General features: G+C 38.6%; 1 long non-coding RNA gene across 1 annotated transcript, besides 1 other annotated feature; it reads left to right on the forward strand.

Moving 5' to 3' along the window:
- Window positions 1-10,781: 10,781 nt before the first annotated feature.
- Window positions 10,782-15,918, forward strand: LOC124901958 (uncharacterized). Its single transcript, XR_007060956.1, has 2 exons — window positions 10,782-11,292; window positions 12,403-15,918. It is a non-coding gene; the product is annotated as an uncharacterized LOC124901958 (long non-coding RNA).
- Window positions 10,889-11,183: a silencer, noted in NCBI's record as "tiled region #8363; K562 Repressive non-DNase unmatched - State 3:PromF". NCBI's record gives its function as "represses a minimal TATA promoter and a strong SV40 promoter by Sharpr-MPRA in K562 cells {active_cell/tissue: K562}" and the evidence as "EXISTENCE:reporter gene assay evidence [ECO:0000049][PMID:27701403]".
- Window positions 15,919-16,253: the final 335 nt, after the last annotated feature.

Here is a 16,253-nt window from a genome sequence, read left to right on the forward strand (position 1 = left end):
GCGTGTGCCTGTAGTCCCAGCTACTCAGGAGGCTGAGGCAGGAGGAGCCCTTGAACTCAGGAGTTCAAGGCTGCAGTGAGCTATGATCACACCATTGCCCTCCAGCCTGGATGACAGAGTGAGACCTTGTCTCAAAATAGTAATCCTTATAATAATAAAATACATGTAACATACTTCAGAATAGTTGTGACTCCAGTACATAACACCACATTTAGAGTTTCTGCAAGTTCTTTATTTGGAGTCTTCAATAATAAATCAGAGCCAGGTGTACTTGTGCAACCTGCAGTCCCAACTACTTGGGAGGCTGAGACAGGAGAATCACTTGAATTCCAGAGTTGAAGGCCAGGCTGGGCAAGATAGTGATACCCATCTCTAAAAGAAAAAAATTAAATATTTAAACAAAATTTTAAAAGTAATAAATGAGATTCCCGTGTTCCTCAAATGAAAGCTTACCTTAGGCTATTGCTTTAACTGGAAACTACTTTGGAGAACACTGACTATAACCCCCATTTTGTAAAGATGTATATTCAGACATGAGCTATGAATGGGGTGACCATATAATTCATCATCCACACTAAGGTATTTTTGGGTGTGAAAGGGGTGTTATAATTATTGTTGTTGTAATAATGGGCATATACAGGACTGTCCTAGGCTTTCTAGTTGTGGAGCGACTTGGCAACAGACAGAGCCACCAGCTCTGTGTAAGTCAGCATGATCTGCTGCAGAAGCCTGAGGGATGTGACAAAAGCAGACCTGATTCGAGCTGGGTTTATAGCACAAGATGGTCTAATTTAATGGCAGGACATGATGGTAACAGTTTCTAGGCAGAGGCAATGAAGATGGTATGGTCCTAGGAGAACCATACAGTCTGTGTTGGCATAGTACAGGGTAGAGTATGAAGAATGGAAACTGAGATTATCAGAGTCTGGTCAAGAAAGCCAACATTTGGGATAAGGCTGTCATCCAAGTAACAGTTACTAGAGTGGAAGTCTAGTCCCAGCCACCATCCCTCAGTCCCATGAAGAGCCCTCATATGACGTAAGACAGCTAGCCTATCCCAAACCTTACCATGTTGTTGGGGGTGGTAAGATTCTTAGTATTCTCCTTGCCTTGCCTAAATGAGCTTTGAGAAGGCTGCAGCCTCAATAAGGAATAATGTCTGAAGGGGTTGTGCAATCTACATCATTTTATACAAGTAGAGGCAAGACCCGGGATAAGTTCGATAAAATTTTTTTTTTATTATACTTTAAGTTTTAGGGTACATGTGCATAATGTGCAGGTTAGTTACATAGGTATACATGTGCCATACTGGTGTGCTGCACCCATTAACTCATCATTTAGCATTAGGTATATCTCCTAAAGCTATCCCTCCCCCCTCCCCACACGCCACAACAGTCCCCAGAGTGTGATATTCCCCTTCCTGTGTCCATGTGTTCTCATTGTTCAATTCCCATCTATGAGTGAGAATATGCTGTGTTTGTTTTTTTGTTCTTGAGATAGTTTACTGAGAATGATGATTTCTAATTTCATCCATGTCCCTAAAAAGGACATGAACTCATCATTTTTTATGGCTGCATAGTATTCCATGGTGTATATGTGCCACATTTTCTTAATCCAGTCTATCGTTGTTGGACATTTGGGTTGGTTCCAAGTCTTTGCTATTGTGAATAATGCCGCAATAAACATACGTGTGCATGTGTCTTTATAGCAGCATGATTTATAATCCTTTGGGTATATACCCAGTAATGGGATGGCTGGGTCAAATTTTTAAATATTTCAAAGGTTACCATCACAAGGCAGTTAAAATTTGTATTATGAAATATTTTCAAACACATATAAAAGAGAGAAAATAAACACCAGTGTACTTGCCAATCAGCTTTGCCAAACCCAAATATTTTGCAATATTTGTTTCAAATATTGTTTTTAAGAAGTAAAATATTATAGAATGCAGCTAAATTTCCTCCTCCAACCCGTCTCATTTATCTTCCTCCCGCCCAAGATGTAACCACTATCCTGAATTCAACATTTCTCATTAACATGCACACTTTTTGTTTTTGCTAAATATGTGTGTATATATTGTGTTCTAAAACTCAGTTTAAATAGTGTCATAATACTTACAGTACTCTACCATTTTTCTTACCACATTAGATTTATAGATTTATTTTTCAGATATATCTATTTTGATGCATGTAGCCAGTTTATTATCTCAACAGTTTTAATGTCATTATATTGAACATATCACTATATATAATACACACACAGATAAATAGGTAATATAGACAGAAAAAAAGATAGGTGAATAGAGAGAAGATAGATAGATAGATAGATGATAGATAGATAGATAGATACATACATACATACATACATACATACATAAATATGTAGATAACTATTCCTCCGTTAATGGATATTTAGGTTGTTTCCAATTATTTGCTATTACATATCTCACCAACAGTGGTTGAGAATTTTAATTGTTCCACGTGCTTGCCAACTACTGGATTTTCACTTTTTTTAAGTACTGCCTATCTAATACGTATGGCATAAAACTTGATTGTTGTTTCCATTTCCCTGATACTAGCAGGATTGAAAATAAATTTCATATGTTTGTGGGCCTCTCAGGGTTCTTCTGTGAATTTCTGCTTCACATTATTCACCCACTTTTCTCTAGTTGTTTTTATATATTCCAGACCTAACCATTTTTTGTTATATGCTTTACTAATGTCCACCACTCCCTGGAATGTCTGTTCACTTTGATTCTGATGCCTTTTATTCTATGAAAGTTTTTCATTTTAATGAAAACCGATTCATCAAAATGTTCCTTTTTTGCTTACGTTTTTTGTGTCTTATTTTTTAAGCTCTGTCCTGCTTCAAGTTTAAATTTCTACCAAAAGTATTGATGTTTTACTTTTTACATGTATGTGTTCCATAAAAAATCCACTGAGCAGATCCACTGCTCAAGTTCTATAAAAAAACTACAGAAATGTTGATTGGAATTGCATGGAATTTGTGGATTAATTTGGAGAAAAGTGGTATCTTTACAATAGCAAGGCTTTCCATCTATGCATTTGTATCTCTTTTAATCAAGTCTTAATTTGTGTTGTGGCAGATTCCGCTACTTGCCTTCTCAACAAACTGCTTTCTTCCTTGATAAGAAAATACAAATATGTTTTAGAGATGGCAATGTGTTCAGCTTCAGGTGACGAATACACAGTAGGCATTCAATAAATAGCACCTACTTAATTATCATCATCCCCCTGGTCTACCATTTGGTAACCAAAGCGAAATAAAGTTCTAAGCAGGGGTCAGCAAACTACAGCCCACAGTTAGTCTGACCCACTTACAATTTTTATGAAGAAGTTTTTCTGGAACACAGCCAGGCCCATTTGTTTACATGTTGTCTATGTCTGCATTCGCACTAGAGCAGCAAAGTTGAATGATTGCAACAGAGACTATATATAGCCACCAGAGCCTATCTGGCCCTTTCACAGACAAAGTTGGCCAATCCCTGCCTTAGACGGTATTCTTTGCGAGATATTGGTTTGGAAGGTTCTATTCCTCTATGCCAGATGCTTATTGTTCCATACTTTGTTGCAACTAAAAGTGTCCATGGGGCCCAATGTTGGCTGAATGTTTCTGGAAAGACTTTTAAACTCCTGATAAACGTAATGACCATAAAAGAAAAGCTTGCTATCACCAACTCTTCCATCTATTTCCTGCCTCAAACACAGATTTGATGCCTGGAACTTTGAGAGCTACTTTGCAATTATGGGGTAACTCTTATGGGGGGAAGAGCTAGAGGGCAAGCAATAAGCTTAAGGTGGCAGGCAGAGCTGGCTATATAATTTGCAAATCCCAATAAAAAATTAAAATGCAGGGCCTCACCCAAAAAGCAGAAAAAAGTGTCATTAAAGGTACTAAAATATAAAGCATTTTCCTTTCTTCCATGGACTCTTTCTCAACTTGCCATAGCATTTTTTTAATCTTTTCAAGACAAGGTCTGGCTCTATAGCCCAAGCTGGAGTGCAGTGGCAGTGTTTCGCCTCACTGCAACATTTGCCTCCCAGGCTCAAACCATTCTCCAACTTCAGCCTCCCAAGTAGCTGGGACTACAGATGCATGCCACCACGATGGGTGAATTTTTGTATTTTTTATAGAGATCTGGTTTTGCCATGTTGCCCAGGCTGGTCTCGAACTCGTGAGCTCAAGTGATCCGCCCCCCTCGGCCTTCCAAAGTGCTAAGATTATAGGCATGAGCCACTGTGTCTGGCTCCATAGTGTTTTTTATTTACTACTTGATGATGTTATCAGTAAAGAATAAAATTTAATTTATTAGCATGAATTTTATCATTGCAGTTTATATTGTTTAATGCCAGTGTTAAATGCAAGAGCATTTGATTTATATACAGAATCACCAACATTATGCTACTTGCATTTCTTACCTTGTATACGCATGCATGTGTATTTCTTTCTTACCAAACACTGAGGACACTGCACAAGACAAACTCAATTGTCTTTATTTCATGTTTTGATTCACACACATAGTCCCAAAATTCTCTACTTTCCACTTACTGATGAGTAAGGAAGGGACTGAAAGGAAAAGGTACAATGCATTGCCCTATTTTTCCCTTTCCTTTGATGCCATCATTTTTGGTATAAATGAAATGGCTAATATAGGGACGTGACATGAAAGTGAAAGGATATAAGACTCCTTGCTTATTTATAGTCCTTAGAATGGCACTGCCTTCTTTTTATATTTGAAGCAAGTTTTCGTTTAAATGAAAAGTGTAGCCGCTCTGGAATATCATCTCCCCTACTTAGTCATAGATGTAACATGTTTAACTTGTGCTCACTTTGAGTCTCAATGAACTCCCATGATTCCTGGGTCCACTGGAATTCAATCCTTATGGGACATCACAAAGACTATATGCAAATGGAGGGGCAAGGAATGACAGACACTCATATTGTATGTATTTCCTCTCATTACACACATGTTCCACTGTCCCATCAGAGTTCATTTACTCAACACAAGTGCAAAGATAAAATTTTCAAGGCATTCAAACAGCAACAGCAAGCTTTAAACCAAGCAAGAGACCCTTCTGAGTTTGAACCCTATATGACTTTACAGGTCACACGCCCCTGAAGCCACTCTTGATGGCACAGCAAAAATGGGCAAAGCCTAGAACAATGCCGACATTGTTGAGTTGCCACAACAAACTACCTTCAGATATATATTTTTTTAATTTATTATTATTTTACTTTAAGTTTTAGGGTACATGTGCACAATGTGCAGGTTAGTTACATATGTATACATGTGCCATGCTGGTGTGCTGCACCCACTAACTTGTCATCTAGCATTACGTATATCTCCCAATGGTATCCCTCCCCACTCCCCCACCCCACAGCAGTCCCCACAGTGTGATGTTCCCCTTCCTGTGTCCATGTGTTCTCATTGTTCAATTCCCATCTATGAGTGAGAATATGCGGTGTTTGGTTTTTTGCTCTTGTGATAGTTTTCTGAGAATGATGATTTCCAATTTCATCCATGTCCCTACAAAGGACATGAACTCATCCTTTTTTATGGCTGCATAGTATTCCATGGTGTATATGTTCCACATTTTCTTAATCCAGTCTATCATTGTTGGACATTTGGATTGGTTCCAAGTCTTTGCTATTGTGAATAGTGCCGCAATAAACATACGTGTGCATGTGTCTTTATAGCAGCATGATTTATAGTCCTTTGGGTATATACCCAGTAATGGGATGGCTAGGTCAAATGGTATTTCTTGTTCTAGATCCCTGAGGAATCGCCACACTGACTTCCACAATGGTTGAACTAGTTGACAGTCCCACCAACAGTGTAAAAGTGTTCCTATTTCTCCACATCCTCTCCAGCACCTGTTGTTTCCTGACTTTTTAATGATTGCCATTCTAACTGGTGTGAGATGGTATCTCATTGTGGTTTTGATTTGCATTTCTCTGACGGCCAGTGATGGTGAGCATTTTTTCATGTGTTTTTTGGCTGCATAAATGTCTTCTTTTGAGAAGTGTCTGTTCATGTCCTTTGCCCACTTTTTGATGGGGTTGTTTGTTTTTTTCTTGTAAATTTATTTGAGTTCATTGTAGATTCTGGATGTTAGCCCTTTGTCAGATGAGTAGGTTGTGAAAATTTTCTCCCATTTTGTAGGTTGCCTGTTCACTCTGATGGTAGTTTCTTTTGCTGTGCAGAAGCTCTTTAGTTTAATTAGATCCCATTAGTCAATTTTGGCTTTTGTTGCCATTGCTTTTGGTGTTTTAGACATGAAGTCCTTGCCCATGCCTATGTCCTGAATGGTAATGCCTAGGTTTTCTTCTAGGGTTTTTATCGTTTTAGGTCTAACATTTAAGTCTTTAATCCATCTTGAATTGATTTTTGTATAAGGTGTAAGGAAGGGATCCAGTTTCAGCTTTCTACATATGCCTAGCCAGTTTTCCCAGCACCATTTATTAAATAGGGAATTCTTTCTCCATTGCTTTTTTTTCTCAGGTTTGTCAAAGATCAGATAGTTGTAGATATGCGGCGTTATTTCTGAGGGCTCTGTTCTGTTTCATTGATCTATATCTCTGTTTTGGTACCAGTACCATGCTGTTTTGGTTACTGTAGCCTTGTAGTATAGTTTGAAGTCAGGTAGTGTGATGCCTCCAGCTTTGTTCTTTTGGCTTAGGATTGACTTGGCGATGCGAGCTCTTTTTTGGTTCCATATGAACATTAAAGTAGTTTTTTCCAATTCTGTGAAGAAAGTCATTGGTAGCTTGATGGGGATGGCATTGAATCTGTAAATTACTTTGGGCAGTATGGCCATTTTCACGATATTGATTCTTCCTACCCATGAGCATGGAATATTCTTCCATTTGTTTGTATCCTCTTTTATTTCCTTGAGCAGTGGTTTGTAGTTCTCCTTGAAGAGGTCCTTCACATCCCTTGTAAGTTGGATTCCTAGGTATTTCATTCTCTTTGAAGCAAATATTCTCTTTGAATGGGAGTTCACTCATGATTTGGCTCTCTGTTTGTCTGTTGTTGGTGTATAAGAATGCTTGTGATTTTTGTACATTGATTTTCTATCCTGAGACTTTGCTGAAGTTGCTTATCGGCTTAAGGAGATTTTGGGCTGAGACAATGGGGTTTTCTAGATATACAATCATGTCATCTGCAAACAGGGACAATTTGACTTCCTCTTTTCCTAATTGAATACCCTTTATTTCCTTCTCCTGCCTAATTGCCCTGGCCAGAACTTCCAACACTATGTTGAATAGGAGTGGTGAGAGAGGGCATCCCTGTCTTGTGCCAGTTTTCAAAGGGAATGCTTCCAGTTTTTGCACATTCAGTATGATATTGGCTGTGGGTTTGTCATAGATTGCTCTTATTATTTTGAAATATGTCCCATTAATACCTAATTTATTGAGAGTTTTTAGCATGAAGCGTTGTTGAATTTTGTCAAAGGCCTTTTCTGCATCTATTGAGATAATCATGTGGTTTTTGTCTTTGGTTCTGTTTATATGCTGGATTACATTTATTGATTTGCGTATATTGAACCAGCCTTGCATCCCAGGGATGAAGCCCACTTGATCATGGTGGATAAGCTTTTTGATGTGCTGCTGGATTCCGTTTGCCAGTATTTTATTGAGGATTTTTGCATCAATGTTCATCAAGGATATTGGTCTAAAATTCTCTTTTTTGGTTGTGTCTCTGCCCGGCTTTGGTATCAGGATGACGCTGGCCTCATAAAATGAGTTAGGGAGGATTCCTTCTTTTTCTATTGATTGGAATAGTTTCAGAAGGAATGGTACAAGTTCCTCCTTGTACCTCTGGTAGAATTCGGCTGTGAATCCCTCTGGTCCTGGACTCTTTTTGGTTGGTAAGCTATTGATTATTGCCACAATTTCAGAGCCTGTTATTGGTCTATTCAGAGATTCAACTTCTTCCTGGTTTAGTCTTGGGAGAGTGTATGTGTCGAGGAATTTATCCATTTCTTCTAGATTTTCTAGTTTATTTGCATAGAGGTGTTTGTAGTATTCTCTGATGGTAGTTTGTATTTCTGTGGGATCGGTGGTGATATCCCATTTTCATTTTTTATTGTGTCTATTTGATTCTTCTCTCTTTTTTTCTTTATTAGTCTTGCTAGCGGTCTATCAATTTTGTTGATCCTTTCAAAAAACCAACTCCTGGATTCATTAATTTTTTGAAGGGTTTTTTGTGTCTCTGTTTCCTTCAGTTCTGCTCTGATTTTAGTTATTTGTTGCCTTCTGCTAGCTTTTGAATGTGTTTGCTCTTGCTTTTCTAGTTCTTTTAACTGTGATGTTAGGGTGTCAATTTTAGATCTTTCCTGCTTTCTCTTGTGGGTATTTAGTGCAATAAATTTCCCTCTACACACTGCTTTGAATGTGTCCCAGAGATTCTGGTATGTTGTGTCTTTGTTCTCGTTGGTTTCAAAGAACATCTTTATTTCTGTCTTCATTTCGTTATGTACCCAGTGGTCATTCAGGAGCAGGTTGTTCAGTTTCCATGTAGTTGAGCGGTTTTGAGTGAGATTCTTAATCCTGAGTTCTAGTTTGATTGCACTGTGGTCTGAGAGATAGTTTGTTATAATTTCTGTTCTCTTACATTTGCTGAGGAGAGCTTTACTTCCAACTATGTGGTCAATTTTGGATTAGGTGTGGTATGGTGCTGAAAAAAATGTATATTCTGTTGATTTGGTGTGGAGAGTTCTGTAGATGTCTATCAGGTCCACTTGGTGCAGAGCTGAGTTCAATTCCTGGGTATCCTTGTTGACTTTCTGTCTCATTGATCTGTCTAATGTTGACAGTGGGGTGTTAAAGTCTCCCATTATTAATGTGTGGGAGTCTAAGTCTCTTTGTAGGTCACTCAGGACTTGCCTTATGAATCTGGGTGCTCCTGTATTGGGTGCATATATATTTAGGATAGTTAGCTCTTCTTGTTGAATTGATCCCTTTACCACTATTTAATGGCCTTCTTTGTCTCTTTTGATCTTTGTTGGTTTAAAGTCTGTTTTATCAGAGACTAGGATTGCAACCCCTGCCTTTTCTTGTTTTCCATTTGCTTGGCAGATCTTCCTCCATCCTTTTATTTTGAGCCTATGTGTGTCTCTGCACGTGAGATGGGTTTCCTGAATACAGCACACTGATGGGTCTTGACTCTTTATCCAATTTGCCAGTCTGTGTCTTTTAATTGGAGCATTTAGTCCATTTACATTTAAAGTTAATATTGTTATGTGTGAATTTGATCCTGTCATTATGATGTTAGCTGGTTATTTTACTCATTAGTTGATGCAGTTTCTTCCTAGTCTCGATGGTCTTTACAATTTGGCATGATTTTGCAGCAGCTGGTACCGGTTGTTCCTTTCCATGTTTAGCGCTTCCTTCAGGAGCTCTTTTAAGGCAGGCCTGGTGGTGACAAAATCTCTCAGCATTTGCTTCTCTGTAAAGTATTTTATTTCTCCTTCACTTATGAAGCTTAGTTTGGCTGGATATGAAATTCTGGGTTGAAAATTCTTTTCTTTAAGAATGTTGAATATTGGCCCCCACTCTCTTCTGGCTTGTAGAGTTTCTGCCAAAAGATCTGCTGTTAGTCTGATGGGCTTCCCTTTGAGGGTAACCCGACCTTTCTCTCTGGCTGCCCTTAACATTTTTTCCTTCATTTCAACTTTGGTGAATCTGACAATTATGTGTCTTGGAGTTGCTCTTCTCAAGGAGTATCTTTGTGGCGTTCTCTGTATTTCCTGAATCTGAATGTTGGCCTGCCTTGCTAGATTGGGGAAGTTCTCCTGGATTATATCCTGCAGAGTGCTTTCCAACTTGGTTCCATTCTCCCTGTCACTTGCAGGTACACCAATCAGATGTAGATTTGGTCTTTTCACATAGTCCCATATTTCTTGGAGGCTTTGCTCATTTCTTTTTATTCTTTTTTCTCTAAACTTCCCTTCTCACTTCATTTCATTCGTTTCATCTTCCATCACTGATACCCTTTCTTCCAGTTGATCGCATCGGCTCCTGAGGCTTCTGCCTTCTTCATGTAGTTCTCGAGCCTTGCTTTTCAGCTCCATCAGCTCCTTTAAGCACTTCTCTGTATTGGTTATTCTAGTTATACATTCTTCTAAATTTTTTTCAAAGTTTTCAACTTCTTTGCCTTTGGTTTGAATGTCCTCCCATAGCTCGGAGTAGTTTGATCGTCTGAAGCCTTCTTCTCTCAGCTCGTCAAAGTCACTCTCCGTTCAGCTTTGTTCCGTTGCTGGTGAGGAACTGCGTTCCTTTGGAGGAGGAGAGGCGCTCTGCTTTTTAGAGTTTCCAGTTTTTCTGCTCTGTTTTTTCCCCATCTTTGTGGTTTTGTCTACTTTTGGTCTTTGATGATGGTGATGTACAGATGGGTTTTTGGTGTGCATGTCCTTTCTGTTCGTTAGTTTTCCTTCTAACAGACAGGACCCTTAGCTGCAGGTCTGTTGGAGTACTGGGCCGTGTGAGGTGTCAGTGTGCCCCTGCTGGGGGGTGCCTCCCAGTTAGGCTGCTCGGGGGTCAGGGGTCAGGGACCCACTTGAGGAGGCAGTCTGCCCGTTCTCAGATCTCCAGCTGTGTGCTGGGAGAACCACTGCTCTCTTCAAAGCTGTCAGACAGGGACATTTAAGTCTGCAGAAGTTACTGCTGTCTTTTTGTATGTCTGTGCCCTGCCCCCAGAGGTGGAGCCTACAGAGGCAGGCAGGCCTCCTGGAGCTGTGGTGGGCTCCACCCAGTTCGAGCTTCCCGGCTGCTTTGTTTACCTAAGCAAGCCTGGGCAATGGCGGGCGCCCCTCCCCCAGCCTCGCTGCCGCCTTGCAGTTTGATCTCAGACTGCTGTGCTAGCAATCAGCGAGACTCCGTGGGCGTAGGACCCTCCGAGCCAGGTGCAGGATGTAATCTCCTGGTGCGCGGTTTTTTTAAGCCCGTCGGAAAAGCGCAGTATTCGGGTGGGAGTGACCCGATTTTCCAGGTGCCCTCTGTCACCCCTTTGACTAGGAAAGGGAACTCCCTGACCCCTTGTGCTTCCCGAGTGAGGCAATGCCTCGCCCTGCCTCGGCTCACGCACAGTGCGTGCACCCACTGACCTGCACCCACCCACTGACCTGCACCCACTGTCTGGCAGTCCCTAGTGAGATGAACCCGGTACCTCAGATGGAAATGCAGAAATCACCCATCTTCTGCGTTACTCACGCTGGGAGCTGTAGACCGGAGCTGTTCCTATTCGGCCATCTTGGCTCCTCCTCCCAGGTATTTTCTTAACTAAAGAATAAATGCCCTCATTATTTAAGCCCACTTTTCTTTTTCAAACAGCTGAAACTGCTGTTTTTACTAGATTTCTCAACATATTAGAATTTGTATTGCTATTGTAAAATATAACCTTTCAAATTAGTTGTTTTCATAGTATGTTAATTTATTGGATTTTTGTATACAGATATTCAGATTCTGCTGAATTCTGTTATTAATTCTAATGAGATCCCCTTGGGTTTTAATCACAAATATGTAAATATTATATATACATATTGACAGCATTTTTGCTGTTTTTCCAATCTTTATGCCTTTTTTCTGGTCGTGCTATAACTAGTTTGTATCTCCAATACAATAATTAGTGAGCTTCCTGCTGTTGTTCCTGACTTCAAAGGGAATTATTCTGTTTATCATTAAGGATGCTATTTGCCATAGCATTTTCATAAATTCTTTTTATCAAGTAAAATTAATTCACTGCTATTGCTACATTGCTGAGAGTTTTTATAGTGAAAGAATATGAAGTTTTATCAGATAATTTTTCTGCATCTATTGAGATAAATTTTTTGTGTTATTTAATATTTAATATAGAGAATTACATCAATAGAGTCTATAATTTTAAACCTCTTTATATTCCTGAGCTATGCTCAATTTGACCATAATGTGTTACAATATTGTACACAAATACTGACATGCACACCCATACAAAAATATACAAACATATACATACATGTGAATATAATATGAATGTCTATTTCATAATTGTTACTAAACCATAATTTTTCTTTCTTGTGCTGTTCTTGTCTGATTTTGTTATCAAGGTTATACTACCTTCATAAAATGAGGTGGAAAGTATTCCCTCTTTGCTCATTCTCCTTATTCAGTATTCAGTAATTAATATATTTAACAAATATTTATTTAGAACACGCTGTAAAATATACGGATTATTTGTTCCTTAAATGTTGAGGAGAATGTGCCTATGAATGATCTAGGCCTTGTGTGGGTTTTTTCTTTAGCTGTTTTTTTGTTATGGTTGTTGTTATATTTTTAACTGCTGCTACAATATCTTATAATATCTTTACCGGTTTATTTTTTCTTGTTATATTTATATTTTAGAAACAAGTTCTTGATGTGTTGCCCAAGGTGGACTCAAACTCCTCTGCTCAAGAGATCCTCCCACCTCAGACTCCTGAGTAGCAAGGACTCCAGGCATGTGCCGGTAAATGTTAGTAAGTTACATTTTCCTAGCAATTTTCCATTTCACTTGTTTTTAAAATTAATACATATTTTATACAATTTATTTTTTAACTTCATTGCAGCAAAGTCATTAATGTTATTTATTTTTTATTGACAAAAATTATTTATATTTATGTCGTACAACATGATGTTTTTGATATATATATATATACACTTTAGTTTTTAAATGTGTGAATAAGGTTCTTCATAACTCCATCATAACAATGTTTGTATTTCTTACAATTATAATGTTTAAATTCATATTCCTACGGGATTATAAACTTCTTTAGGCCAGGCACTAGATAAATTCTGTATATGCCTTAGAACTTAGCACATGGTAGTCACTCATGTACAAATTATTGAGTGTGCAAATGTATGAATGAATGAATGAATGTCCACTTAAAGAAAACAATATGAAGCTCTTTTTTTAATCTTCAGCTCATAAGTTGTTTTGGTACACTTTTGTCCTTCTCTTATTTACTACTTCTTATTACAATGCAGAAGTTAAAGCATGTAATTTAGGAGAACTTTGCTGCATTTAAAGGATAATTCAAACTCATTTTAGAAAATCATTTTATTACATTATGTAATATTTTATATTTTTAATAACTTGATATCCGAAAACCAAATTTCGCTGCAACATGTTCAGAAAGTTTTCTTCCTTTTTGGAAATTGAACCTTTCTAACCAAGTAACAGTTGCTAAGGGATTTGGAATAGAGATTAGCATAGATTTGGGTGGCACAAGTGATCCTTTGTGCACGGTTAACAGTCTATTTTTCATTTATAAAATTAATATCCGTGTCTGTGATTCCCACTAATACTAGTTTGAAAATAAGCTAAAGATAATCCTCTTCTCTTTAATTTCCATGGGGCCAGCACCACTTGATCTGATTATGTAATGTCAAAAAACTCAAGTTTTACTGGCAGAGTGCATATCGTGCCTCTGTTCTAGTGCTAACAAGAGCCTTCAGCAATTAATTAAACTTCTATCTCTTCAAGGAGATTCACAACATACACTCAGGGACAGGCAGTCCAAGAAATCTGAATGTAGAAACATTTTAATTTTGTTGCCTCTGAAGTTTGGAAATTATTCAGATTTATTTCTTTCACAAAAAAAGTCCATCATTTTGTCTTACTGGTCCATGTGCTTCCCACCAATCTTCCTCACTTTAGATCCTTATCCTCTTTTCCAAGGGTAGCATTTCCACTACCCCCATTTTCACTGGCTACGTACCTATTGAACCAAGGCTCAGGCTCAGATCTAGCAGTAGGGAGAGTTACCCAGCTGTGGCCACTCCAGGTCTCACAGACAAGGAAGCCAGGTGTGGGCAAAGTCATGTGGACAGCCATCAGTCCTCTGCAGGACCTCATTCCTAGGACTCAGTGAGTACCTCCAAGTGTTTTGGGGATTTCCAGGCTCATCATGAATCTCCAAATAACTCCATTTAACCAACAAGATTTTTATCTCTAGATATGCTCCTCAAAGGCAGTTTTATCATAGCCACAAAAGACAATAATGTGAGCCATGGAACTTCCTCAGGTCCACCAAGAGATGACAGAGCTGTTCCAAGATGCAGAGTGAGAACTAAGAACCAGCAAAACAAACATACCAAAAACACTACTCAAAAATGAATCGTTAGTTAGACGGTTGCTAATATTTCACTTGAATACATAACTGTGTGAGAGAAACAACCTTAAATATTAAAATACTAGATCTTTGCAAACTTTGTGATTAATTAATTCAGCAATATTTATGGAACATCTGCTATACAGTTGGCATCCTACTAGTTCTTGGGAAGAGTACAAAAATCATGTCTCTGTGGAGTTTATAATCCACTGAGAATGGTACAATATATCCTATAATTATATTTAAAAACATAATCCTAATTACTTTGAATTCTACCACTTATCCTCGTGTCAAAAGAGCAATTGTGCACATATGCTTCTATATTCTTCACAGCTCCTCGATTTCTAACTGTCTTCCAGGGGGAAAAACATGTTAATTTCTCTTAAAAGAAACCATAAGCCACTGGAGTACAATGACACACAGTAATACAGGAGATCAACTTGAAGGAGAACCGCTTAAGTTGTGTAGGGTAAGGAGTAAGCCAGCGATTCTCGAACTTGGCTGAGGGCTGGCTACCTAATTTGTGGGGCCAGTGCAAAATAAAATGTAGGGCCCCTTGTTCAAACACAGGGAAAAAAAAGTGTAATTAAAGTGTGAAATTTTCTTTTCTTTCTTCCACATTCTCTCTCTTGACTAGTAATGGTGTTTTTTATTTTCTATTGTCATGTGGCACCTTGGCATTCTGAGTACTTTGATCTGAAGGACATTGGAAAGGCCTCACAGCCAAGGTCTCTTTGAGCTTTGCCTACCCTCCTGTCTCCTGACCCTCTTTCCCCTCTAAAGGGAGCCATAGAAACCGGAATTCCTCTTCCCCAGGGTGATCCATGGAAACTGGAATTCCTCTCACCCAAAGCATGCCATAAAACCTAAAAAGGTCACCTCCTCCCTTCTCCCTTGAATACCCTCATTCCAGAGCGATCTTGTCCTATACCCAGGTAGAAGGTGTAGAAGCAGAACAGTAGTGATCTCCTTCCTCCCTATCATAAAGGTCATGGCCCAACCTTCTATAACAAAGATTAATGAGGAAAACATAACAAATTTATTTGATCATTGTTTTATGAAACACAGGAGCCTTCAAAGTGAAGACCCAAAGATACAGGGAAAACTATCCATTTTTATGCTTAGGTTCAACAAAGAATGGACAGCCATGTAGAAATGTGACTGGACAAAAAGGTTATGATCTGTATGCCAGTAGACTGCGTGGGGAAACCACTGAGGCCTGTCCTTATTCCTGTTGACTTTGGGCAGCATTTCTTCCTCCCGGTTATAGGGTAGGATACCTCTGGAATGAGGGTCTTAATTTCTTTATGACCAGTTGTTACACAGAAAAGCATGGGTAGGGAAGGGGTAGAGTAACATTTTTCAACTTTATGGCTGGCTTTGGAAAAAAAGGGTTCCATTTTCTATGGCCTGCCTTAGGGGAAAATGGAGCCAAGAGACAGGAGGGCAAGAGAAGGTAAGAGAAAAACTTCTGCTTCTGAGGCTGCTTCCTAGAACTTGACTTTGGAGTATTGTTTTCTGAGTCCAAACAGAGGAATGCTACATAGACAGGACAAAAAGAATCTGAGCAGACAGGCCTTGCTGGACTTCCCTGTCGGTCTATTACCATGAGATCAGACCCTTTTGTCCAATCTCTTTCTACATGGCTGTCCATTCTTCACCAAACCTAAACATAAAATTAGATGGTTTTTCCTAAGTCTTTGGGTCTTCCTTTCTGAAACTTCTCACGGCATGTAAAATTTTCATTCAATAAATTTGTTATGCTTTCCTTTTTTTTTAACCTCTCTTTTGTTAACTAGGGATGAGTGAGGAAAGATATCACACCTTTTTGCCCCTACACTATTTGATCATGGTTTAAGAAAAGATAAAATCTCTAATTATTAGCATTAATTATCTTTTTCTTTTATATTATACAATGCCAGTTTTAAAAGCAAATATAAGAGCATGTAACTCATGTGCAAAACACCAAATTACCCAATTTGCTTTTCATACCTCATGCATGAATACACTGTGTATTTTGTTCTCACAAAATGAGTGGACATACCACACAAAACTAACTCAATTCACTTTTCAATTCCCACACATTCTACCAACACTCTCTAC

The sequence above is a fragment of the Homo sapiens genome, chromosome 8 (genome assembly GCF_000001405.40).
Source record: "Homo sapiens chromosome 8, GRCh38.p14 Primary Assembly".
NCBI lineage: Eukaryota > Metazoa > Chordata > Mammalia > Primates > Hominidae > Homo > Homo sapiens.